At 33.3% G+C, this 27291-nt stretch overlaps 1 protein-coding gene across 3 annotated transcripts in view; it reads right to left on the bottom strand.

Moving 5' to 3' along the window:
• Window positions 1-27291, bottom strand: part of HTR2C (5-hydroxytryptamine receptor 2C) — a 325976-nt gene that overhangs the window by 222213 nt on the left and 76472 nt on the right. The window lies entirely within an intron of this gene.

Genomic DNA, 27291 nt, shown 5'->3' with positions numbered 1-27291 from the left:
AAGGAAAACGCTTGAGACATTAAAAGTTGCCCAAGAATGGAGCTGATATTTATAAAAGAAGGCAGACAAAATAAATTGTGTATTAAGAGACCGTTGGTTAAGAGTCTCAACTGCACTTTACATTTATCTATGAATTACCTATCTCATTATTTATTTGATTAAAAAACAGTAATATTTTTAAAACTTACATTATTCAGAAATTATACTTGTAAACTTTATAGATCATATTAAGCTGGTCTCAAAATTAGACAAACAAGTCAACTGTTAATTTTTATTGCAATATAATCTTAATTAATCTTAATAACAATACAAAATTCATAATAAAATAAAAACAAATTTTAGGCATTTATCCGTTCTTTGATAAAAGAATTACAAATATTTTTAAAGACTAGATATGACACACGTGAAATTTTAAGCAATGTACCAGTAAACGATGGAGTACAGGATACCTTGAGATGATGTTGAAAGACTTTCAAATTCTCAAATCAATGAAAGTACATAAAATGTGTAAAACACGAATACATTTTTAAGTAATGCATAATGCACAGGATGTATTGTGAAAGTGCAAATATAACCAGCACTAGACCAAATTGTTTTCTAAACAGTGTAAACTTGTTTTTCATCTGTATTTCCCACTTCGTATCTTGCTACACATGCTAAGTAACTGTTCTGCATAGCATTTTCCAAAGCAAGTTTTAAAGCCTTATTGGAAGAAAATATAGCTGGGGTAAATGACAGGAATAATCTTTTAAATTTATAAAATCTCTTCTAAACGTCAGTGTAATTAAGTCAGTGTCATGAACTCAACTATTACTGTAATTTTCAAAATGATGTTCCCATCATTGACTTTACACACAAATTTTATTTAACCTAAGGAAAGCACTGGCTAAAGAAGCTACATTGAATATTAAAATAATTTAAAATTTTTCTCACTCTTCTTTCAAAATAGAAACAAATTGAAATTCATGAGTCTTTGTATTATTTAATTTATTTTGTTCTTATCTGAAACGTTATAAAATTTTGCTATTTTTATTTAAGGTGAGGATATGTAAAATAAAATTGCATAAAAGTTATATAATGTATTTTACAGTTATATCCATTGATGTGTGCCATAAGTATTTTGTAACCTGTTTTTAAATGTTATTTAAAAAAATTTTTTAAATAAAATATATAAATATACTGTGTGGAAGTAATATGGGTAAAATTTCCTTTCCTTTCTAGCCTTGCCTACTTTCTAAATTAAACAAAAGATTTAAAATTGTAGACTGTTTAAAGAGTTTACATTTTTAAATGATTCATAACATTTTATTTTGATTAAAAATAACAACCTTGCCCACCTTGATAGACCTAAGGCCCTCTCAGAAATAAGTCTCTAAAACATTCTAACATTGGACCTTCAGCCTCACTAAAGATGAATAATTCTAGCAATAAATTGTCAAAGTTACCACTAAAAGCAAGAGTAATAGTACTATCTGATAGGGGGAATAATAGTTCCAAAATGTGTATGTGCTCAGTAACATCAAATTGCATACATTCTTTGTGTCTCTATTTGTCTGTGAAGAAGAGCTCTGGGGGATGTTGACCCAGTGGGGAATTATTTCTGGAACATGCCATGAAGTGGGGTAGCTAAAAATTATTCCTTCAGCTGAAGAATTTTCATATTATAATCTGGTAAAAAGTTTTAGATAACAAAGTTATTTTTATAAAAGATTCATTTTAATCATGTCTGGGAACAATAAAATATTGAAAGTGGTGAATGCTAATAGGGAAGAGCTGTCATGAAAGTTACCCAAATGATCTCAATTTATATTGTTGCTTTGAAAAGGATTTGTTCTATATCAACTGCCCTTCAGAGTATGAGGTTGTAATTATGATCATAAGATGATCAGGCCAATTTCCCTAATGATGAAAGCTTCACTGAAAAAGGGGAAATTAAATATAATCATTTTCTATTATAATATCAGGTAGCAAAATCACTACCACTACCTGTGCACATCAGCTAATTTGAGTAATAACATTTTTAACACGGATAAAGTACTGGCTAGGTAGAAATAGTTAATCCAATCCTCATTTTTTGCCTCTGCAAAATAGAACAATTGGATTAGACTCTTTTTTGTTCTAAAGTGCTATGACTTTATGATAATCCACTGCTATGACTCTATGATAATCCACTGCTATAACCTGCTTTAGATAAACGTATGGCACCTGGCAGACATCTGACACTTAGGCAATCCAGAGATTGACAATCCCTCTGGTGGCGGGTTACTGTCTAATTTCAGGTTTATATGTTAGTCAAAGATTCAACTTTCTGAAAGGTGTATCAGCACATGTAAACATACACAGTAATAAAACACACTATGCCAGTTCCAGTTCCAGTAGGAAGTTAGCACTTCACTAATGAATTCAGAAGTCATCTAATCGGTCCAATGAAGTGTTAGCAATGAAAAGAGATAGTTTTACTGACAGTCTCCATACCACTGAAGGTGTGAAACAAGAATATTCTATTAATATCTTGCTTATAAGCTGTGTAGTCAAGATAATTAAGCATTGTTCTTGTGGAATGAGAAGATTTAATTAGTCTGGGACATTTAGAAACTATTAATAAAAGTCTAAATATTACTCAATCTTACAGCTGCTAACTGGTTCACTAATACATTATAGTGGAATTTATTAATGATATAAATTAATGGTGTTTATGGTATAAATGTTATAAATTAATAAAATATTTTTAAACATGATGATAACCTTTAGAAAACAAATATCCATCAAATTTGAAGGTCACTAAAATGTCATGACTGCAGTATACAAATTGTATTACTGCTCTTGTTTCCCTTTCAGTGCATCAAACTACATCTCATTATTAATTGAAAGATTTTAGCCTTTTGATCTATTGATGTATTTATATAAACTTCTTACCTGTCTAGACTTCAAGAAAAAGGCTTTTCATGGCAGAGATTTTTGATAAAAACAGCTATTATAAATTAAACTTTTAAAATAGTAAACCATTTATATCATGGTTATTTTTTAAGTATCTTGTTTTAGTCCTTTTCCTGTAAAGACCTATTTTTAATGTACTATAATGAGGAGAAATACAATCCTCCCACTACCATTCTCATTTTCTTAGATTTGGTATTTTTGCAAAAAAGCTGCAATACTTTATATGCCAAAAAAGTTTTTGCACTTATTCTTAGAGTGTTTGTAAAGAGTCTCATAAAAGTAGAAATTATCTGCCTATTTTTCCTTAGAAAAATATCTCCCCCTTTCAAGAAATAGTCAAGAGAACCAGGGTAACTACTAAATAAAAGTAACCTAAAAAATTTAAGGCTGTGAAATAAGAGAGGTATTTTTTATTATTACATACCTGGCTTCTAAGAAGAAAATAAAGCACATTCCAAAGCATACTTTTACTTTATGAAGAACATTTAATTTCAGAATAGGCAATGCCTCTTTTAAAATAAGTATAAGCTTTAGACTTTTTTCCAGCTATGTTTAACTCTTGGCCAAAAGTTCTAAGAGCAATATCTTTACTTGAGATTAGTTAATAATTTCTATTGAATTCTTTAGTCTCGGTCAGCTAACCATTTTAGAAAATGTGACAAGCAAACAAACATGATAGAAAACATAATAGGACACTTCAGGAAAGTTCTAAGATAAAACTGATGAAAAAATATAAAAATACTAAATTAATACATAATAACAACTGAGTAGCTTGTGAAATCTATTGATACAGTTTATCTCAAAGGGCTCTCAATATAAAGCTCTTCGCTTATGTTATTAAAATAGAATTTATGAATTTATATTAATTAAATATACTTTCACTGCTGGCAAGGGTCATTTTTTTTCAGGGAAAGATATGTGCCTTAGCAATTGTATGAACTTGTACAGAGAATATTTTTATTTCAAAAGATATTTCTCAAAACAAATTTTTAAGTGTAAAAAAGATAATTCTCAGAAGTCAAGCATTTTGAACAGAGAGTCATTCTTTTACTAGGTCGCATTGTCTGAAATTCCTAAATGATTCTTCTTTTTTTGTTTTGTTTTGTTTTTGCTTTTTTGAGATGGAATCTCACTCTGTCACATGGCTGGAGTGCAGTGGCACCATCTTGACTCACAGCAACCTCTGCCTCCAGGGTTCAAGCGATTCTTGTGCCTCAGCCTCCCAAGGAGCTGAGGTCCTGAGTAGCTGGGATCACAGGCCACCACACCTGGCTAATTTTTATGTTTTTAGTAGAGACAGGGTTTCACCATGTTGACCAGGCTGGTCTCAAACTCCTAAGCTCAAGTGATCCGCCCGCCTTGGCCTCCCAAAATGCTGGGATTACAGGTGTGAGCCACTGTGCCTGGCCAGCTTGTTCTTCTTTACCAATACCTAAGTTTTATGGATGATGAGTCCCTTTATCCCTCTCCCCCGATACCAGGATGAAACTTCAGCTTACATTTACTAGGGATAGAGAATGCAAGGAAAAAAAAAAAGATTTAAAAGTCTCAATATGGCATTCAGGTACATCTGTGTATGAATGTGTTTGTTTTGTATGACTAGATGATATAATGCTATAAATGAATAGCAGTTTCAGGATAAGTTATGTCTATCCTCAATCTATTATATTCATCATTTATTTTTCAACGAGTGTTGTAAAGAACCTCAAAGAGCAATCATTTATCTTTTGGGTATGTAACAACCACTGATGGATTAAAAATAGTTAAAAACAGTCTACGTTTCCAAAGCTTAAGTGTTTCATTAGGCTTCCAAGAGTGACACAGAGTTGTCATCTCCATCATGGTTGGTCTGATCATATTACGATCATAGTTACAACCTCATATTTTGGTATCTGATCAGTAAGATATGCTTGCCTGGTATTATCAATATGGGTACCTATTTTCCAATTTGGCAGAAAGGGAATCTTCTAGATACAGTTGAATAATGTTAAATTGATAGATATCTTCGAATGAAGTGAACAAAGGCAAATTGCTCCTTTTCAAGTAGTTATATGCATTACACTGTTCCACCTCTTAAAAGAAAAGCCTAAAGAGAAATGTAAGATGAAGCCTATTATATACCAGTATTTTATAGAGTTTCAGAATCACCAAGAAAAGGTATTAGGGATGGAGGGAAGGAAAGGCGGAGGGTGAGCAGGAGACAGACCTTATCTCTAAATGAACTACAGATTTCTTTCTCTTTTCCTGGGTAAACAAAAGAAATAAGATTTATTTCTATGAAGAATGTCAGGAGCCCTACTGTAAAACTTAAACAGCAGAAAGCTCATGAAATAGACTTTTAAAGAGAAAGAAAAATAAATTGTATTTCCAAGGCAATCTTATTTTTCTGAACTTTGAAATCCTAAAAAGAGCAGCATATTAAAAAATATAAAAAGCACATTTACATATGGAAATATGTAGAAATTTGAATTTTAATGTGTTGCCGCCCACCAATTATAGATAATAAGTAGTCCAGTTTTAGAAGATTCAGTTTCTAATGAAAATAGTATTACTCATTTTAAAATATATATAAAAAGTTATTGTTGTCAGAAGATGGCAAATTTTAATCACCAATTTAATCTCAATTGTAGCATTTTAAAGATATGCATTTATCTTTCTTCCATTAATGCTTTAAATATGTTTCTTTGTGGTTCTGGGTATTCCTTTCTTGTTCCATTTATTAAAAAAGAAAATTGTCAGCCTGTTAAAGAAATTTCCTAATGTTTAAATCCTTTTCTCTGAATGCAAGGTAATTATATCTTAATGGCATGTATACATTTTAAATAATTGAATTTTATAGGTGGCAAAACTTATTTAAAAATAAGTCTTAGTTTAAAATTGTTCAGCTACTCAAGATGAAAAATATCCTCCTGGAAATTAAAATAAGGAATCCATGTGTTCCTTATCTCATTTTTATTGAATGCATTTTATTTGTTTCTTCTTCTGTGACACTGCTGGCCATACAACTGTGTATCTGAAGGCTCATGTTTATGGAAAGGGGAACGTAGTTATTAGAAAGCACACAGGCAGAGAGGAACACGTTTTGACAATAGAAAACTCTAATATATTTCCTAACACATTACAAAAACACTAAGGTTAGTCTTTTTCAGCATAAGTTCACATCGTAGAAAGAAGAGGACTGACTACCAAGATTTGGTAATCTAGAGATTAGATTACCAGAATACCTGACATTTTGCAAAAGAGTGTTTTTCACATTAATCTGAGAGACAAAAGACAAACCAGAGAAAACATTATTGAAAGAGGAACATTATTTCATCTCTTTGGAGCTAGAGGTTAAAAAACCCAACTGCAAATTGTAACTTGAGTCTTCTTTATCCTTTTGTTTCTTGCAGTGTTACTCATTGCTAAAACTTGCTCTGCCACTAGTTGATCTAGGATAAGTCGTTCTCTTGAAGCATCAATTGTTTCATCTTTAAAATAGAGGTAACATCTATTTCAAAGAGTTGTGGGAAACATATAAAATACAGCAAGTAAAAGTACATAATACCTAGTAGGAACTCAAAAGATGTTAATTATAATAATTATTAAGCCTGGCAAAGATCAAGGAGGTGATTTAACAATGCTATATAAGTGTAAATAGTAATCTTACCCAGAATAAAATGACCAACTGTCCTCAATTTCCACTAAGGGAATGGAATATGGAAGAGGATAAAATTTGGGTACAATATATTTAACTTTGATATAAGAAAGGAAGATGCTGAAATGTATTAAATATTGAAATAAGATTCCGGATGAAGCATAAGGCTGGTAATCAGACAAAATGAGCTTTCCATGTTGCTGTCAACAATGTTAACAAGTATAATATGTTACATTCCCTTCCAGCATCTAAATTACTTAAATGTCTAATATGTGCACCATGTTCTGCATGGCAGTATTTTATCCCTAGAAGGCAATGACAGGCTTTTTCTGTGGAAAGTGTTAGGTTTGAAGTAGCAAAATTTTGAAACAAATAGGATAAAGGGACATATAATTTAAAAAAAATTAACATTAAATGTTGCTTTAAATAAAGTCTCTACACAAGCCTTTTTGTATTGAAGGAGTTAAGAATATGCCACCCTAAAATATGCCATTCTGGAATATTGACTATTCTGAGTTAAAGACACTTGAAGAAAAGCAGATACAAGAAGATCATCCAAACTTCATTCTGTTTCTTAGAAACAAGAGATGAAATCCCCATGTGAAAGATATCTTCCTTATACTAGAAGGAAAGTTTCATTCTTACCATCAAGGATGAGAAGGTGAGACCAAGAAAAATCTGTACAAACACACTATGTCAGACTAACCCTTATTTCCTGCCCACATCTCCACCCAAACAAGTCCCATAGCCCTAGAACTTTTGCCTTGTCACATTTTCACAGCTTATTACTTTTTGTCCAATTCAGCATATAGGTGTTCAGCTCTAATGATGTCTTTGGGTCTTCATTTTCTTAAGTCTCCTGTGTTATGTAGTTTGTATTAAATACACTTGTATGCTTTTCTCCTGTTGTTCTGTCTTATGTCAATTTAATTATCAGGCTCCGCCGGAAAAACACCCTAGAAGTGTAGAGGCTAAGTTTTTCCTTCTCTATGGTATACATTACTCACTTAATAAATTGCTTTTAATTGCCACAGAATTTAACCTACCAACTAATGTTTTGCATAATTTCATTTATTTTTCATTCTTGGCAAGATAACTAAGAAACTTCATGGGTATTAGAAGTGGCTTTAGGACCTGGTAATTAACTATTGTCTATTCAAAGATGAAACAATTTCCTTTCTGTTATTTTGGTCATCTAATTCTGTTTATTTTCTCTACAGTTCCAAATTTAAGTAAACAAATTGTAACAAAAAATGCCCAATAGTAAAATCAAGTGAAGTAGGTATAGTTTGTAATATGCAGATATAAATCAGTATAATCCAATTCAAAAGTTATGAATTTAGTATGAGTTACACATTAGTAACCAAGAAAACATTATTCTAGAACTTAAATTATACTGATTTGGAGAAGACATCATATCCTTCAGGAGGCTCAGTGTGGCATGATGGGAAAAGCACTGAGCTAGAAGTGAAGACCTAGATTCTATTTTTGTGAACCTGGGCAAGACTCTATCTTTTTAACATGTAATTTCCTCTTCTGTTTACATCTCTTATGTATTATTGCAAGCTATTAGGTTTAGTAATAGAGTTGTGAGTATGAAATGGCTTATTTCATGGAGTTTACATTCCAGTTGAGTGTGATTTTCTCACTGGATTATCTCCAAGGTCATCTTCGCTTTTAAAAATCTGTCACACTGGGCAAGGTGCAGTGGCTCACATTTGTAATTCCAGCACTTTGGGAGGCCGAGACGGGCAGATGACTTGAGTCCGGGAATTCAAGACCAGCCTGGCCAACATGGTGAAACCCCATCTCTACTAAAAATACAACAATTAGCCAGGCATGGTAGAGCGTGCCTGTGAGCCCAGCTACTTAGGAGGCTGAGGCGAGAGAATCACTTGAACCTGGGAGGTGGAGGTTTCAGTGAGCCGAAATCACACCACTGAACTCAGGACTGGGCAGCAGAGCAAGACTCTGTCTCTAATAATAATAATAAATAAATTTAAAAAATAAAAATCTGTGATATTAAGGTTCTTTAAGACTGCCAAGGATAAGCCAGCACTGTGTGTAGAAAAAGCAAAGTATATAACAACCCCCTATTAAGTATGGAATAAGAAAAATAGGAAAATAATCAGGCCCCTGCCCACAGGAGGGGCTTAATTCATAATTGTTCACATAATCATCTCTTAGACTCTTAAATTCTTAGAAACTAAAAATCTAGCTGTGTTTCCAAGGTGTGGCTTAGTAAGTTTGTGTTTCCAACATTTTACTTTTCTGCTTTGTATTTTTACTTTATTTATTTTTAACTTTTTTCTTGAGGAAACTCTTGAGGAAGCCCAGGAGGATGTCTTGTTTGTGGGGGAACAGAACCCTGTTAATTGTCTGATTACTGGGCAGCAAGAATATTTTATTAGTGAAATTCTTACCTTTTCTAACTATGTAGTTACATAATAAAAATGGAACTCTTAAGGCTAACAGTTTCAAAGCAATCCGTGAGAAACTGAATGGGGGGTGGGAGATGAAAATTCCTATATCTTCTGAAATGTTGTTACCTAGACCTAAATGTATAATGTCCTTAAAATCTATGATACTTTACAAAGCACTTTCACATTCATTATCTCATTTGAGCCTCACAAGATTATGATTACCAGAATGTGAAACAGGCAGGGAAGAGCAATGTAAACACTATCTTTCATGTTAAATAATTACTCATGAGGCTCTATTCATTCCCCAGAATGGTCTGCCTACTAATCGCCAATCTGCCACTGCATCACTAGAGCTTAGTTTTCTCTCTCTTATCTCGACCCTCACTGCCAAATCAACACCAGCATTGTGTAGTTTCGCCTATTACTTTTTTTCCAATTTCAATTAGGAACATGGAAGTAAGAATATAGGTGGGAAGGTTGACAGGATTTGAAGGGGGTTAGTTTGACCTTTTTAATTTAGGTCTGTTTCACATCAATCTTTCTAAACGTGTGTGTGTGTGTGTGTGTGTGTGTGTGTGTGTCAGACAGAGAGGGAAAGAGAAACACCAAATACACAGTCTCAAGATATTTTCTCATGCACATAACTGTCTGATCAATGTTTAATATTTACTACATGTGCAGAGAAAGAATCATTCTGCCCATACTTTATTCACACAGGATCTATTTACCTTGAATTATGCTGGGGTCCAAAAATAATTCAAAGCACAGGAAAGAGGAGAGAAGAATGGCCAGACCTTCTGATTCAAAAGTAATTTTATATTATAAAATGTCGTTGTTTCAAAGCAGTACTGAACGATCTTATCTATCACGAAAGCTCGAGAAAATAGAAAAAAAAAAGAGTGCTTTAGGACATCTATTCTTTTAGCCACGGCATTAGAGGATCATTTTGATGATCTGGTAAGCCATAGAAGGGAAAAGTGGTGACATTAAAAATGGACACAGTAATATTTCCTTTTTTCCTAACCTTGGGTACACGGGACTGAGCTCTCTTATGTTCTATTTGAGTAGGCAGAAAACAATTGCAAGAAGCTTAGTCTGTTTGTAATTATCATCCTTTCCTCCTTTATTGACAATACTCAAGATTGTTTACATACATTAAAGGCCAGTGTGATCTATTGTTAATGAGGAATTACCTTCTGAGCTTTTTAATTTTGAAAATTATCAAGTCTTATGTTGTTTCAAAATATAAGGCCTTATTTTGTCATTAAGAAACTGGTGACAAAAAATGGCATTTTTATTTTTGTTTAGTATACTGTTTCATTGTACCGTGGTTAAAATTCTAGTAAGTGCTTCATCATTTTATAGGGTTGAACATTTTCTTGTAGTTAACTGAGGTTTGTCCTCTAAAAAGAAGAAAAAAAAAACTAATATTTCATTGAGACATAGTTTTTCCAGATAATTTAAGAGTTGAATCATCAAACTGTCTGAATCTGTCTCTTCCTTTTATCTAGGCCCTCATCAACTTTCATCTAGATTATTCCAATAGTCTCGCCATATTTTTCCTTGCTTCCAGACTCTTACCCATTTCAGTTCTTCTCAAAATTGCCACCATAGTTTATTTCCCGTATGAGATAAAATCATGTTGTCAATCAGCTCAGGAAATCTATATTGACCACACAGTAAAACCCAAACTCTTTAGATCTTAAACAAAATTTCCACAACCTACTTCTCATTTCCCCCTTCAACACGGGCCCTGCAAGTACACAACAAGCACATATGCCAACACATCTAACACAAACCATATTATGTTTCTTGAACATGTTAAACACTTTTATGCCTCTATGCCTTTATTAATACAGAAAGGAAATCAAATACAATTGCTCAGGATTTGAATTCAATTAAGGAGTCCCATCACTGAACTGAAGGAGGATTTCAAGTAAGCAAATCTTGCTTTCCTTCTATCCCTTGAATTTCACACACACCCACTCAGGCCACCTGTTATCCGAATAGTTTTTGGCTCAATGCAAATAATTCCAGAGTGGTCTTTTGATGGTTTTCTAAAGATTTAACAAATTGTGCAGAGCATATTCATTCTGATCTAAAGGCAAAAAGCACAAAAACAAAAGAGTGTCATAGAGCAATAATAACAAATTATGTGAGCCTTTTTTTGACACATGATATCCCACATTCCAACTTAAACACTCTCATGAGTACTTCTGTCAATAATTAATAAATTCGTATGAAATAAAATATGTGTATTACAATTCAAAATGTGTTACTCTTGCAGATTACAATGAATTCTTCCTTTCCAAATGGATTTTTTAATGTGCATAAAAATGGAAACACTTTGCAGCTCAAATGATTGTTTTGTTTTCCTCTTCAAAAGTTAGTCCTTTTTTTTTTACCTCAGAAAGCTGAAGTGGAACACATTTCTGTTTTCAGCATGGAATAATGGTTATGGATAATTGAGGTAATTATATCACAAGATTAAAGATAATTCTGAATGTTGGAGAGGGAGTCTATTTGCTTAGGCATTTTGCTAGATTAGTCAATTTCATTTATTGTGGTTTTTTTCTATATGCATTAGGAAGCTACAGACAAAACTTATGATTGCAGGCAGATGATTTTCAGGGTTCTTATTTACCTACACAATATGAGATATGGTTATCAAAAAGTCTTAAAGGCTGAGCGCGGTGGCTCACACCTGTAATCCCAGCACTTTGGGAGGCCAAGGTGGGTGGATCACCTGAGGTCAGGAGTTCGAAACCAGCCTGGCCAACATGGTAAAACCTCGTCTCTACTAAAAATACAAAAATTAGCTGGTTGTGGTGGCAGGCGCCTATAATCCCAACTACTTGGGGGGCCGAGGCAGGAGAATCACTTGAACCCAGGAGGCGGAGGTTGCAGTGAGCCGACATCGTGCCATCTCACTCCAGCCTGGAGGACAAGAGCAAGATTTCGTCTCAAAAAAAAAAAGAAAAAAGAAAAAAGAAACGAAAAGTCTTAAAAACTTAGAAAATCTTTCAACATAATAATATTTTATGTTCTTTGGCAACTGCCATTACTTTGAATTTTTGTTTAATGAAACAAGATGTCAGGGCTTCAGCTATTTCTTTCTGGCACATTGGGAAGCTACAGCAACTATTTTAGGTCATCACATATTGTATGATGAGTCATTATTTCAGTGTACTACAACAAAGCTCCGGGAAATAAAAAGAGTAATGTAAATGCCAAAGGTGCCTAATTTGGAAATGTCAAGGCGAGAACATAAAATAAACTTTCAACAAGCTAATGTTAGATTAAGTACAACACATTAAGAAAAAATTAGACTCCACCATTCCAAAGTCCCTTTCTACCCTGTGGATATAGATTAGTAACTTCTTTGGTATCCCCTGGAATTCTTCCATAGATGAAAATGACAGATTAGATCATTGACTAAAAACCTGAATGGAAGACTTCTGCATTTTAGAAGGATGTACTACTATAAGAGTTGAAATTAAAAGTAAAAAGGGCTTAATCAAATCTCTTTTTGCCATGCTGTTCCAATTAACCAAGTTGGATTGTGTTGGGTTTTATTGTCTATTTTTATAAGAAGGAATATTTTTGCACTTCTACCATATGCATACCACCCTCTGACCTGGCTCATTGAAGATGTATTAAATAATGTAGAACATTTGCTGCTGAGTATGACAGTTGTCTTATAATTATGCCACTAGATTTTTAATAATACATCTATGTTGAAGAAAATGTTAATGTAATATTTACAGATATTTTAGTTTGCTTGTTTTGTAGACACAATGTAGAAGCAAAAGGTAGCAACTGGCCCAGTGCCTGAGACATTTAGCTCTAATCATATTAACTATACTTCCGTATTTCTTCGAAGTTTAGATAAATATGATTTTGGAATTGTGAACACATGATGTGAAACTATGAATTGAATTTAAGATTCATCAACTTCCTAGACCATAATAATGAATACAGTATCAAGAAAACTATCTGGAGACAGTATAGAGTTTAGAGGCAGAAAACATGGATTCTAAAACTGCCTCTGCTTTTAATACATCTTAGGGAAGACACTCAACCATAACTTACATACCCATCTATTGAGTGACTATAATACCTGTCTTATGTACTTGAAGGGATTATTGGGAGGCTTAAATGAAATAATAGATGTTATAATTTTTTAAGACACTATGCAATATAAAGTATCTCATCATGCTATGCATTTTGACTTAAGGGCATTGATTGGCCCTGATTACGTATCATAATTATAATGTTTCAAAGTTTCATATTTACAATTTGGGAGGATATGAGCAGAAATACAAAAATAAACATCTGAAGTAGAGAAGCAGATAGGAAAAGGGGCGCCAGAAGACACATTTCTCCTTTATATCCTGACTACTGCAGATTTAGAAAAAAAATAAATTCTTGAAAACAATTCACTCTTTCAAAGTCACTACTATAAGGTCAGAAGTTTCCCTAAAGTTTGTTGTTAACATAAGCAATGGTAGCTATAGAATGTTTCAAATCCTAACATTTAGCCTGTTAATTGTTGCTATAGAAACAGACCTTCAGACACTACATAGAATGAACCATATGTCATTCACTTTTTTTCCTAAAGATTTTCTCAGGAGAATATCCTAGAAAACTAGACTATGAAATAGGTGGAAAGATATGTCACGAAGCTCTCTGCTGGGCTGTGATTACTGAGTCTGGACGTTTAATCAACAAACACATTTGTTCATGAGTTAAAAGGTGCCCCTGCATTGCCTTGAGGCATGGTCTTTGGAAAAACACAACTGCTGAGAACACAGCCATTCTCTTCTCTACTCTCCATAACAAGCTATAAGTTCAAAGGTTCATCAAGCACAGCCTTGAAACAGACAGTGTCTGATGTGCTTTCTTATTAGAATATATTATGATATTATATATTATTAATGTATTTTCAGAAATTTACAGACTGAAGATTTTAGTTATAGAAGTAGAATTTTGAGTTTCAGTCTATAGCAAAAAAAGTTTCCACAATGTTTTAAAATATCACTTAATTGCATTGCTCATAAATAACATACATGTTCATTGTACAAAGTTTGAAAAATGAAAAAAAATAGTTTTAAAAAGTTCCAGGTGATGCTAACCCCCATATATAACTACTGTCAATCTCATACATATTTTCACATACCTGAAATCAAATACATAATTTTGTGTCCATGTTTTTCTACTTAGTCTTGAGGATTTTCATTTAAAATAAAACCTCATTACCATATGATGCCAGATCTACTGTAATAAGAACAGTAGGATTTAAGAATATCAAATGCCAAATAATATAAGCCTTTTTTCTTTTCTGATTTTATTGGAATCCCCTCCCTTGGAGATGAAGATCCCGAGAAGAGAGAGTAGCAAAGAGGGTTTTCTGAAAGTTTATAGGGAAGGAAAGGTTGAATCATAATGACCTTAGATTTCTTAATCTCTTACTGAAAATCTAGGTTAGTTTAGCTTAATATCATATACATCTAATTTATTAATTCACATTCTTACCATCAAATCCATTGAAGATAATCATAAAAAATGAATGTAATAACTTGGTGAAATAATTTGCTTCTTACTGGTTTTTGTTTCCTGGAATTAATTAAAGTTCATTCCAAACTAAAGTTAACTTTTAGATAATTCAGGTCCCAAAAGTGAGACAGAGTGTATTACTGCTTTCGGCCAACTATAATTGTTTGACAATCTTAAGAGTTATCATATAGCTTTCAAGTTTGTCTATTTGACAACTGAGAAGCAGCCTTTGCCCTGAAAAAAATTGGCTGATTAATGAAGAATCATAGAATGTTAAGGTCCAGCTACACATGGGGAAGATGAGATTTAACTAAATCCTGTTGATCTTGAGGGTGCAATTAGATGAGCCTCCAGATCCACATTAGTCTTAGTTATAGCTAAATTAAGATAACTGCACTTCATAGCTGTGCTGTTTTAACAATAAAAAAGTAGGAAACATTGACTAAACAACTCAGTTATGAACAGCATATTGTAACATAATCTAATAATCTCAATATCTGCATATTAACATATAAGTAAATATGGCTGCTGTATTTTCCAAAGTTATATTTGAAACTCTACAGAATGTATACATGCCTTAATTTGAAGTCTTAATTGGTTGTGTGCATGTGTACAAGTGAATATTTTTAATGGAGAATTAGCTATAGCTATTTTACAGCTAGGTATATAATTACACTATTCCATTTAACTCTCATATCAAAGGTAAGGAATACCCATTTTATAGGTAAAGAATATTCCATTTTACAGGGAAACTAAGTAAATTGCCCAAGTCTTATAGATAGCATACCCCTTTAAAAAATAATTTAGCTTAAGTAAATGTTTACATATGATTTTATTTAATCCAGGAGTGATATTGAAATATTTATATGATTTTATCTAAGTGGTGTGAAATACGATTTTTTTTTTGAGACTCAGTCTCATTGTCACCCAGGCTGGAGTGCAGGGGTGCGATCATAGCTCACTGCCACTTTTAACTCCTGGGCTCAAGCGACTCTTCTACCTCAGCCTCCAGAGTCACTGGGACTACAGGCATGTTTCACCATACCCATGTAATTTTTAATTTACCTTTTTAGCAGAGATGAGGTTAAAATATGATTATACACCACATTTCAGATAAACTTTAATTTTATAGTCCAAGTTACTCTACTTTTCAGATTTAGCACTTCTCTCTTATAAAGGCAAATGCTCAGGATCTGCTATTCTTCTTGTTTATATTTATTTGCTTGTATCTAGCAGAAGCCCAACGGTTTCTGATACATATTAATATAAATAGTAGTGACCTTTTTCATTTCCATGATTGAGAAAGAAGGAGAAGACAAATGTTTGGGTACTGTTATTATTCATTTTTCTATGAACAGGCTCTATGACAAGTGCATATTAGACTCATGCTCAAGTATGTTGCGAGTGAATACAACTATTGCTATTTTTAAAGAAAATATTATAAGGTATTTGAATATTTAATTTTACTTTCCAATGAACTTCTGACTATGAATAATGCTAATGCCTCAGCCTATTACTGTGAATACCAATTTCTTAAAAATAATAGTCCACATCAATAATGTGAATGATTACAGTATAATAATGCTAATGGTAAAAGAAATATTCTGCAAGTTTTATAGTATTTTAAAACATTTATACATTAAGGAACATTACATATTTTCGAAGCCATCACAGATCAACTTAACAATTGAAATAAACACCATGTTGTTATACAAGTCAATCTCAGTGGAAATGTAAAAATAATTGAATTAAACGTTAAAGCAAATGTCAAACCCAAATCTTGTAGCAACGTGTTACAAATCCAAATCTTGTGAGTTTTTCAATCTATTGATTAAAAACTGCAACTTATCAGTAACATAGCAAAATGCTCATTTCAATATTTGTCATTGAGATTAATAATAATTTTCACGTAATCTGGAGATCAGGCATCTGGGATCTGAAAACAAGGCATATAACTATATTTCTATTTAATTGCTTTTGCCATTTTAATTCAATATTCATTTAAATTTATCTAAAACTGCTGAAATTTATTTGTAAAGAGTCATCCATAATTTTGGTAGAAAAAACATTTTGGGATGTTTTCCTTCTGTTCTGTGTTTACCAATGGTCATACATGAAAATTTGAATGTTAATCTGTTTGATTTCTCCCTCAATGTGTTAAGAACTGTAAAGAAATTGTTTTACAAAATGGAAACACATTAGATATATATTAATTAAAATTATTGATCCAAAATGTTTCACAAATCAAATAAATGACATAAGTGTGATGATGAGTCCAGTTCATGATTTCCATGCCTATTCATAAAACCAAGAATAGATAATTCAGTGACAATAGCCAGTAACTTAAATACGAATGAACTTTAAGTCTATTCTTTATTCAGGTCTTTTCTTCAGCTAAACTCGTACATTAATTATAAAACACTACTATAGTTAAAATTAAAAAAAATTTGCTCTTGAATATTTTTTATTCGGGCAAACTGCCTAAAGGCAAACACATGGCTAACTCGTGATAATAGTCTATGGGTTTGCATATAGAGGATATTAATAATCTATCTGTCAAAAATTTATACATTTAATGATAAATTTAATATATTGCATAAATTTGAGTTTTGGTAAATACATCTTCATTATAAACATTGAACTTACACTATCAGATTAGCAAAACCATAAAAAGTGTGTTGCTACATGCTAGGCTTGCCTAAAAATATCAATTCATTTTTAATTGCTTATTTCAGGATAAGAATGCATTTTGCATTTGGCCAAATGTCAATATAATGGTTACATAGTTAATAAAGACCAAATACATAAAAGACGATTTTCTGAGGACAAAAATAGAAAACTTTATGCAGTAAATTGCTAAAGGAGTTGCCTCAGAATTGCTTTTTTTTTTTTTTTTTTTTTGAGACAGAGTATCACTCTGTTGCTCAAGCTGTAGTACAGTGGCGCGATCTAGGTTCATTGCAACCTCTGCCTCCCACGTTCAAGTAATTCTCCTGCCTCAGCCTCCCAAGTAGCTGGGATTACAGGCACCTGCCACCACACCCAGCTAATTTTTTTGTATTTTTAGTAGAGACGAGGTTTCACCATGTTGGCCAGGCTGATTTTGAACTCCTGACTTTGGATGATCCACCTGCCTCGGCCTCCCAAAGTGCTGGGATTACAGGCGTGAGCCACTGAGCCCGGCCAAGTAAGCCCTTGCCCAGCTAATTTCTGTATTTTTGTAGAGACAGGGTTTCACCATGTTGGCCAGGCTGGTCTCAAACTCCTCACTTCAAGTGAACCTCCCGCCTTGGCCTCCCAAAGTGCTAGGATTATAGAGGTGTGAACCACCACGTCTGGCAGCATTGCTACTTTTAAGCTGTGTGATCTGAGGCCAATTATTTAACTTCTCTATGATTGTTTTCTCATCTTTTAAATGAGGTTATGAACAAAACTTATTGTAAATAGTTGTTGTATGGAGACAGTGAAAAATGCATACAATACTCTTAGAATAATGCTGGATACATAATGTCTAATGAATGTTAGCTGTTGTAAGTATAAAACACCCCTAGTTTATTGTGTAAAAGTACTCTTTTAACTTAGTGCTTAAAAGATAGAAGTGAGAGACGGAGTCTCGCTGTGTCGCCAGGCTGGAGTGCAGTGGCGCGATCTCGGCTCACTGCAACCTCGGACTCCCTGGTCCAAGTGATTTTCCTGCCTCAGCCTCCTGAGTAGTTGGGATTACAGGCACGTGCCACCACTCTTAATGGTAATAAGCTTAATTTGTTCAACAACCTGGTTCACTGGCTTGCCTGATGATTATTATGCTCAATTAAATGATTCCCAATTCATATGATCATCACAATTCTAAGTAATAGACGAAGGGGGCTCAGTAAGAGTTTGGGTACTGTTATATAAATCAAAAGGGAATTAGGCTTTATGAAGTTTTTCTTCTCCAATGAAAAAGCTCTAATGTACCAATCTGCTCATCGAATTAAAGTAATACTTCACATTCTGAGAAAACTTTAACTTATTACCAGCGAATTATTGTGTGTATATGGTTCTTAGATTAATTGGTAAGATAAAAGCCAGCCTATGATTGCTATCCTTTTTTCAGTTTCTATGACATATTACTTACTACATGAACTTTAGAAAAGAACCTGTTGATAGAAAATGCAATGAAAAAGACTAATTAGTCCTATTCTCCCCTGTATAAAAAAAAAACTGACACAAGTGTAGAACATATATCATAGACAGTATTGTATAACACATGTACCTTTACTTTTGACCTCTGTAAATCATTTGAAAGAAAGTATCTATTCCTGCCTTGGTATGTCAACAGTGCCACCACCCTACAAAAGTCACTTATTTCAAAAATAATCTTAACTATATACACATGTTATATATATTACATTGTATATATTATATTATTTACATACGCACACATTTTAGTTGAAGTAGAAGTTAATTTTTGGCCCTAAGTATCTAACACTTACTTGAAATACCTAATAATCCCAAGGAAAAACTGTGGCTATATAATCTCTCTTCCATTTTGTGCTTTAGATCCTCCAAAGCAGGAGGGTTATGTAAGAGCATGTTTATGAAATATTACAGGTAAAAAAAATAATTCTTGGTTCCCATTTTGGTAACACCAGATTTAAAGAATATGCAAGAGGATAATATATGGAGTAGAGTTTACTTATTGGGGCACATACTGTAATACCTATTTTTACTTCCCCATCTATGCTTTTTCAGGTTCTACACCCACTTATCTTGAATTTATACCTAGCCATAAATACAATTTTAAAAATAATTATAGAATTTTGGAGCTTTGGAGGATGGCTTCCCTCACAGCATCTCTAAGAGCTAAATAAAAATTTTAAAACAAAAATGTGTGGGTGATGCACAAATGTAGATCAGAATATTTGTCCTATTGAATTGGGATGATTAGTCATTAATTTCAAATATTCTTAAGACATGTTCTTAAAGTGCCCTCAAGCCTATTGTGTAAAGCTCTTACTGAAATAGTTTCAAGCTAAAAGGAGAACAGATCAGGCATCTATGCTAGGAGGATAAACTCATAAATAGTCTCACTTTAGAAACAATATAGTCTACAAAGGAAGACGTGCTAAGAAAGAAAAAGTGGCAGGACTTGTCATTGAGAGTCTATTATACCCAAACACTTCCATTTTTTACTTGGCTTAGTAAATCAAAGGTATATTTGTGTTGTAGATACATACATATATTGTCCTTCAATATCAATGAAACAGATTTTTTTGTATGTACTTTCTCTTCCAAGACATGGGCAGATACAGGTGATAATTTTTACCATGTTTAGAGGAAAGTAATTTTTACCATACATAAGAAGAAAGTATGTAAGTGGATTTTGTTAAAATAACTTTAATGCAAGCATTAAATGAGTCTGTAGATTTCTAGAAATGTTTAAATAGTTAATAAATATATCATTGCCTTTCAGTAAAGGTCATGTTTCTGGCTCATAATCAGGACACACATTCTTACTTCTTCTATAACTGCCTTGGATTTGTGAAACACGTTTGGAAGAGGGTCTGTGCACAATCTGGGCTCACAGGAAAAACTAGTTGAGTACAATTTAGTTCCTTGGCTTCCTAGAAATCATTTTACATGTTACTTCAATGTCACCCAGTTCCACATCTTCCATTCTACCTTCCATAGCCTCAACATGTCATAAATCGCTTAAACATTCTCATACACTTCCAAAGTTCAGCAAATTAGTACTTTTGTCATTTATTTTAGGCTTCTCAAAATATAGTCAGTACATATTTTGTAAGACACTGGTAGCGAAGAGTAAGCTTTGAGTGTTGAGTTGATCAACAGCAAAGATACAATAAGCTAATGATAATTAAATTGTTTATGTCAGATTACAAGTACGTAATGTATCTAGTACCCAATACTAAAAAACAAACAAAAACACGTAACTATAGAAACCCTCTTTTCGAAAATTTATTTAAGTCCTGTTTTTGATGTCTCAGGGAAACAATAAGACAGAAACCAAGCATCCTGTTACAGAGAATAAAATTAGAGCTCTGCATAAATAATTAATTTTTATTGTTTTTCTCTAAGGTATTTTTTGTTAAAAAAACAACTGATACTATAAAAAATAGTTTTTAAGATTAGCCTATAATCTAGTACTTAAATTTGTTGCTTATAGGTTTGAATATAGTAAGGTCCTTAGAATGTGATATTATGTTTCCCTCATTTTGATAGTGCCCAGAGTTCCCTTAAAATTCAAGAAGCAAACAAATGATTAAGAGGTCAATGATTCTGATAATTCATAGACTACAGGATGTTAAAAAATATAGTAGAAAATGAATATAATGCAAGGTTGTTTGTAAGGCAGTTCTGTTACCTATGTCACTGCTACAGTTGCTAAGTAATTTTTTAACTAAAAATAAAATTAAAAGATTATTCAAGACAAGCATAGGGAAGTAACTTACAGTACATTTCCTGAGATTTCCCTATTGAATTTAAAGATCCAATATTGCTATTTATTGAATTTAAAATATTTTTAATTTTCAAAACATCTTAAAAGTGACTATACAATGGATTATACCTAAAAGAAAAAAGTCATATGTATGAATTAGGGAAGATCTAATATAAATGGCCTTAAAAATCAAGTCAAGAAAGAAAAAAAAGTGAGTGTTCAACTACTTACATAAATAACCAAACACAAAGCTCATTATCTTGAATCTTCTCAATGTTATTACAAAATCTAAAATGTAACTTTTGCTCAGAACTCAAGTTCTCTATTCATTGTACATAATATGGCACCTTGACAACATTAATATGACAAAATTAGATAATCATAAAGAAAAATAAGATAATTAAGTTTTAGAAAGAAAGGTTGTTCTCATAGTTTTTTAAAACTGTATCTTAAATACTCAGGTTGATTTTCAATTCAGTTTTTCTAGAAAATTATTTTTGTGACGATTGCACCTTATTATTTTTCACAACATTCCTCAAAACTATCCCTGAAGGTTGGTTAGCTGTATTTATTCCATTTCATACAGACAGTTGAAGCAAAGAAATCAAGCTCAGAACATAGTTGACTTCAAAATTTACAATTGTAGTTTATGTTTGCAATCTTTTTAGCAGCTAATATGTTGCTTTCTCTACTATCACTGTGGATCTTTCTTCAGCAGCACGAAGTGAGAAGGCACATCTTTTCATAAACAGGTTCTGGTTCTAGATATAATTTGGTTGCAAATGATAAAGATGGAAGAGAGGCAGTATCATATCAGAGAGATAAAAAATAAATTTTAAGAAGAAAAACCTCTCTTAAAGAGATAATAATGGAGAAAGTGGGCTTTAATTTCCTACAAGGGTATACCTGCGAAAAAGAAGACATATCAGCAACTAACCAAATACAGTTGATCCTTGAATAACATGGGTTTGAACTGCTCAAGTCCACTTATGCACAGATTTTGTTTCAGAAAAAGTTACACCAAGTGTTCCTGCCTCCCCTTCCACTTCCTCCACTGTTTCTACCTCTGCCACCCCTGAGACAGCGAGACCAACTCCTTCTCTTCCTCCTCCTCCTCAGCCCACTCAATGAAAAGATGATGAGAATGAAGACCTTTATGACGATCCACTTCCACTTAATGAATAGCAAATATATTTTCTTTTCCTTATGATTTTCTTAATAACATTTTCTTTTCCCTAGCTTACTTTATTGTAAGAATCCAGTACATAATACATATAACATAGAAAACATTTGTTAATCAACTGTTTATAATATCAGTAACTCTTCACAATAGGCTATTAGTAGTTAAGGTTTTGTGATGTCAAAAGTTATATGCAGATTTTCAACTGCACAGGGTTCATTACCCTGAACACCCACGTTGTTCAAGGGCCAACTGTATTTAAATTATAACTCTGTTAAACAAAAATTATGCCAGTCCATTGTTTTGGATTTAGCTACTACAGTTGGCCCTAAAGAGCAGATCGAACAAAAATGGAGGCAATCATGCCAAAGGCCAAATAATCAAATTGAAACTCTAAGGAAGCAGACAGATCCTGAAACAGATCAGTTTTTCCTGAAAACAGGATACTTCCAATCCTACCTGAGTCAGTGTAATAAGGAGGTCTCCTCTGCTTAAACCCTTACCAAAAAAAAGTAACCTGAAGCAAGCTGACGTTAACCAATCAGTTTTTTTTCTATTGTTCTGTTACCTTGTACCCCCTTATGAAACTCACTGTTCTGCCATTGCACAGTGGGAGTGCTTGTTCTATTTGCGATACATGAATGAGAAGGAAAGTCAATTAGATCTAGAACTAAATTAGTTATAATTCTGTCTTTTGATATCTCAAACAAGCTGTTAAAAAATTAACCAAAAATTTACATGAACATCAACAGTATGAAACTGAGTAATTTTGACATTGTCGAAAATTCCACCTTAAGTTACAGAACAGCTTGAAGCACTTGGATAAAGTGATTCTGCTGGTGGGAATGTTAATTAGTTCAGTCATTGTGGAAGACAGTGTGGCAATTCCTCAAAGGCCTAGGGACAGAAATCCCCTTTGGCCCAGCAATCCCATTACTGGGTATATACCCAAATGAATACAGATTGTTCTATTATAAAGACACATGCACACATATGTCTGCTGTAGCACTATCCATAATAGCAAAGACATGGAATCAACATAAATGCCCGTCAATGATAGACTAGATAAAGCAAATGTGGTACATAGACACCATGGAATACTATGAAGCCATAAAAAGGAATGAGATCATGTTCTTGGCAGGGACATGGATGGAGCTTGAAGCCGTTATCCTCAGCAAACTAATGCAGATACAGAAAACCAAAACACTGCATGTTCTCACTTATAAGTGGGAGCTGAAAGATGAGAACACATGGACACATGGGTGGAAACAACACACACTGGAGTCTGGAGGTGGGGAAGGAGGAGGGAAAGCATCAGGAAGAATAGCTAGTGCATGCTGGGCTTAATACCTAGGTGATGGGTTGATCTATGCGGCAAACCACCATAGCACATATTTGCATATGTAACAAACTTGCAAATCCTGCACATGTACCCTAGAGCTTAAAAATAAAAGTTGAAGAAAAAAACAATAAAATGAGGTGATTTTCACAACCAGTGGCAGCCATAGTGATTGTGGTAGGAGAATAAAAGCTTTACTGCTGAATCTTAAAACTTTGCACGGGTATATGTCAGATGGAAAAAGAGACACCTAGTATAGTCCTCACTGATACCATGATTTGCTGGGACTTTCACCAGATGCAAAGCACTGGTCTTTTCCAAATAATCTTCTGAGCCTTCACTCCTGTCAGTCTTCTTCACAAACTAAACTATTTAGTGGAAATGATCCTGTCAGTCTTCTTCACAAACTAAACTATTTAGTGGAAATGATCTAGTCAGAATTATTCCTGCTGGTTACTATTAACACATTACGAGATTGCCTGCACTGCCCTCACCCCCGCAGTCTAGTCTATTTCCTCTTCTTGCTGAGACAAAGATCCTACCTATACTTTCAGTTCAAGAGACAAAAATGCATAAAAGGTAAGTGGATTTACTACCTCTGGAGAAAGGGCAACCTGGTAAATAAATAATTAAAAGCAAACATAGAGTTGGAAATGCATTTCCCTCACTTAGTGGGGGCTAAATTTGGAAAACAGCCCTGCTGTTTCAGAGCTCTTAGCATCATATAAAATCAATCCACCAAAAACAAAAGTAAAACAAAAACCTTTATAGGGAGATAAAAATAATTTTTATCAAGTGTGTATTTGGTTTTTGTTTGTTTGAAAGCTTTTTAATTTTTTACTTTGCAAGAATAAATGCCAGTTAGTTATGATTTCCTTCTTGGCATATTTTTGCTCAAAGCTTCATAAGTCATGTGACTATAATCCTATATAGAGATTTTTAACATTTAAGTTTTAATATTTTAATTTATTTCATTTTTCATTTAAAAATCCAGGTCAATGCATATTTCCTATCATACCATCCTGCTTATTATCCCCTCTCCTCAATGAAACAGTGCTGAACATGTTGCTGGAACGAATACACTAAGTATTTCATTAGGTTCTATAGGCAATTGTTGACTACTGATTAAGAATCAGTACAGTTCTAGGTACTATGGGAGATACAAACAAACAAAAAAAAAGAGGTAATAGTTGATGAAGGAGAGCTTACAATCTAATTGGGAAGGTGAGACCTACGGCACTTCAAGAACTAAGTTGGGTTCTTTGGAATAGATTCCATCAAGCAAATCCATGATTAGCACGTTACTTATAAAAATACACCTGTTTACAATAATACACCTAAATACACCTATTTCTTTCTCTGTTATACAGCATTGAGTACTCTGTCAATGGATTTAGCCACTCTTCTAAAACTTGGGACATTTACATTAGACATCATGATTTTCTGTTACTTACACAAGTACTTTAAAATCAAGGGCAATACTATTGTATACATTTTATTTTAGGATTATTTTTCCCCTTACTCTATGTTTCCTCATTTATTTACAACATGAAATAGATATATTGTCTGATTCACTGATAATTTCAAAATGAATAAGAAGCCATCTCCTGGCAAGATTAGCATTGTTTATAACACTACATGAATTATTATCAGTGAAAGGAGAAGTTATTGGTCCCTTTAATGCATAATGGATTCTGCATGTGTCTGCACAGTCATTTAGAAAAAAAGTATATTTCATTGTATTGTAAAACCCTTGGGATATATTATATGTGCAAATACCTAGAGGATATTTTCAAATAATTTATTCATCTTAAGGCTTGATTATATTTCAAGTCCTAAATCAAGGGAACAATTTCTTTTTCTGTGTTTGTGATCTGCATCTTGGTGTGTGTGTGTTGGTAGGTAAACAGAGAAACACAACATACTGTAGAACTAAATTACTTCAAATAGATTTAAAGTTGTGAATGTATTTGCATATGAAAGAAATTAACTGAAGTTTAGAGGAGTTTACTGAATTTTATAGTTTCTTCCAGTAAAAGAAACACCATGTAATTTTATAATAATAATATCATTATAAAAAAATTAAGTGAAATATTCAGTAACCCTATACCTGTATAAACATTCTCTTATAAGTGTGAAATTAAGAAGTATTACATGAAGTACTTAAGCGATTGGTTATTTAAAAAAGGCAGCCTTTTCATTTTGTATTCCTACCGAATATTGAAAAACTCTGCCATTATTTTACTTCAGCATTTGTTTTAGCCCCAAATAAAAAGACAATTGCCAATAGAGAGCAATCAACGTAGAATGAAATAACATATTGACTGTGTAATACATACAAATGTATTGCACATGTTTAAAGACTTTGAAATGGCTAACCAGTTGGCAGCAAGATTCTATTTGAAAGGGCTAACAAGTAGAATAATATAGCTTTGGAAGTTAATTTGCAAATTAAACCTTAAAATAGTGGGACCTAGGAAACGTAAGACTTGCTTGTTATGTGTGTTTTCATGGCAGATTTAAATGAAAGTCAAGAACAAAACCACAGTTGGGTATTACACAGTAGTGGTCCCTGAAATGCTCAAGGATTTGAGATCTCTGGACGCCAAAAGGAGGTCAGAATGCAGATGGATAGGTGCCAAAATAATTATTTATAGATTTCCAGGCCAGGCACGGTGGCTCAGGGCTGTAATCCCAGCACTTTGGGAGGCTGACGCAGGTGGATCACTTGAGGTCAGGAGTTTGAGACCAGCCTGGCCAACATGGTGAAACCCCATCTCTACTAAAAATACGAAAATTAGCCAGGTGTCATTACTAGCTGACATTCTGGAGTAAAAATAAATTTTACCTCATAACATATATACAATCATTTCCCTTAAAACGTGTTCCTTTTTGGAATGGTTTATTGGATATTATAGTTTTTTTTTTTACAAATTCATTCATAGTGTTCAAACTAATTAGCAAAACAATTATTGTGTATTTACGTGGCCTCAGCCTCCCGAGTAGCTGGGACTAGAGGCGCCCACCACCACGGCGGTATTTTTAGTAGAGACGGGGTTTCACTGTGTTAGCCAGGATGGTCTCGATCTCCTGACCTTGTGATCCACCCTTCTCGGCCTCCCAAAGTGCTGGGATTACAGGCGTGGGCCACCGCGCCCGGCCAACTTTTCCACTCAAACCAGATAATGCATCACTCTACTTCCGAAGGCAAGAAACATACTTCCAGGGTCACTTTAAAAATAGATGCTTGCTTGGGCCTGTGGCCAAAGTTAGGGAGACATGAGTTAGCCTGGAAGCTTAGGGGAGGGGAATACTTATTTGACTATTAACTTCTAATAACTAACAAGATCCATCCTAAATGAACCATATTTGCAGAGATATCTCAATCAATACATGAGTGTATAAATAATCTTAAATAGAATACACAACTTTGGGGTTTACAAAATTATCTAAAAGAGACTTGCTACCGGTTTAGAGGCCACAAACGTTCAAAATATAATATAGCACCATTCACTATAATTTGGTAACATTAATGACTTCTTAAGGTATTAAGTATTTGACAGTATACCTTATTCACTGATACATGTAATTTCAAACACATAGAAATCCTAAAAAGGGCATTGTACTTCAAATCTATTATAAGGATTCTCAGTGTGCAATATTAAAGGTTAAGTTTAAAATAAAGTAAAATGTAGTAATAGTAATTTAAAAATCATGTGCAATTTTATGCACAAAATGAATTAGTAAAATATGGATTGGAAAGTCACAAAGAAATAC

Source organism: Homo sapiens, chromosome X, assembly GCF_000001405.40.
Source record: "Homo sapiens chromosome X, GRCh38.p14 Primary Assembly".
Lineage (NCBI taxonomy): Eukaryota > Metazoa > Chordata > Mammalia > Primates > Hominidae > Homo > Homo sapiens.
This window is presented reverse-complemented; position numbering and strand designations above follow the sequence as displayed.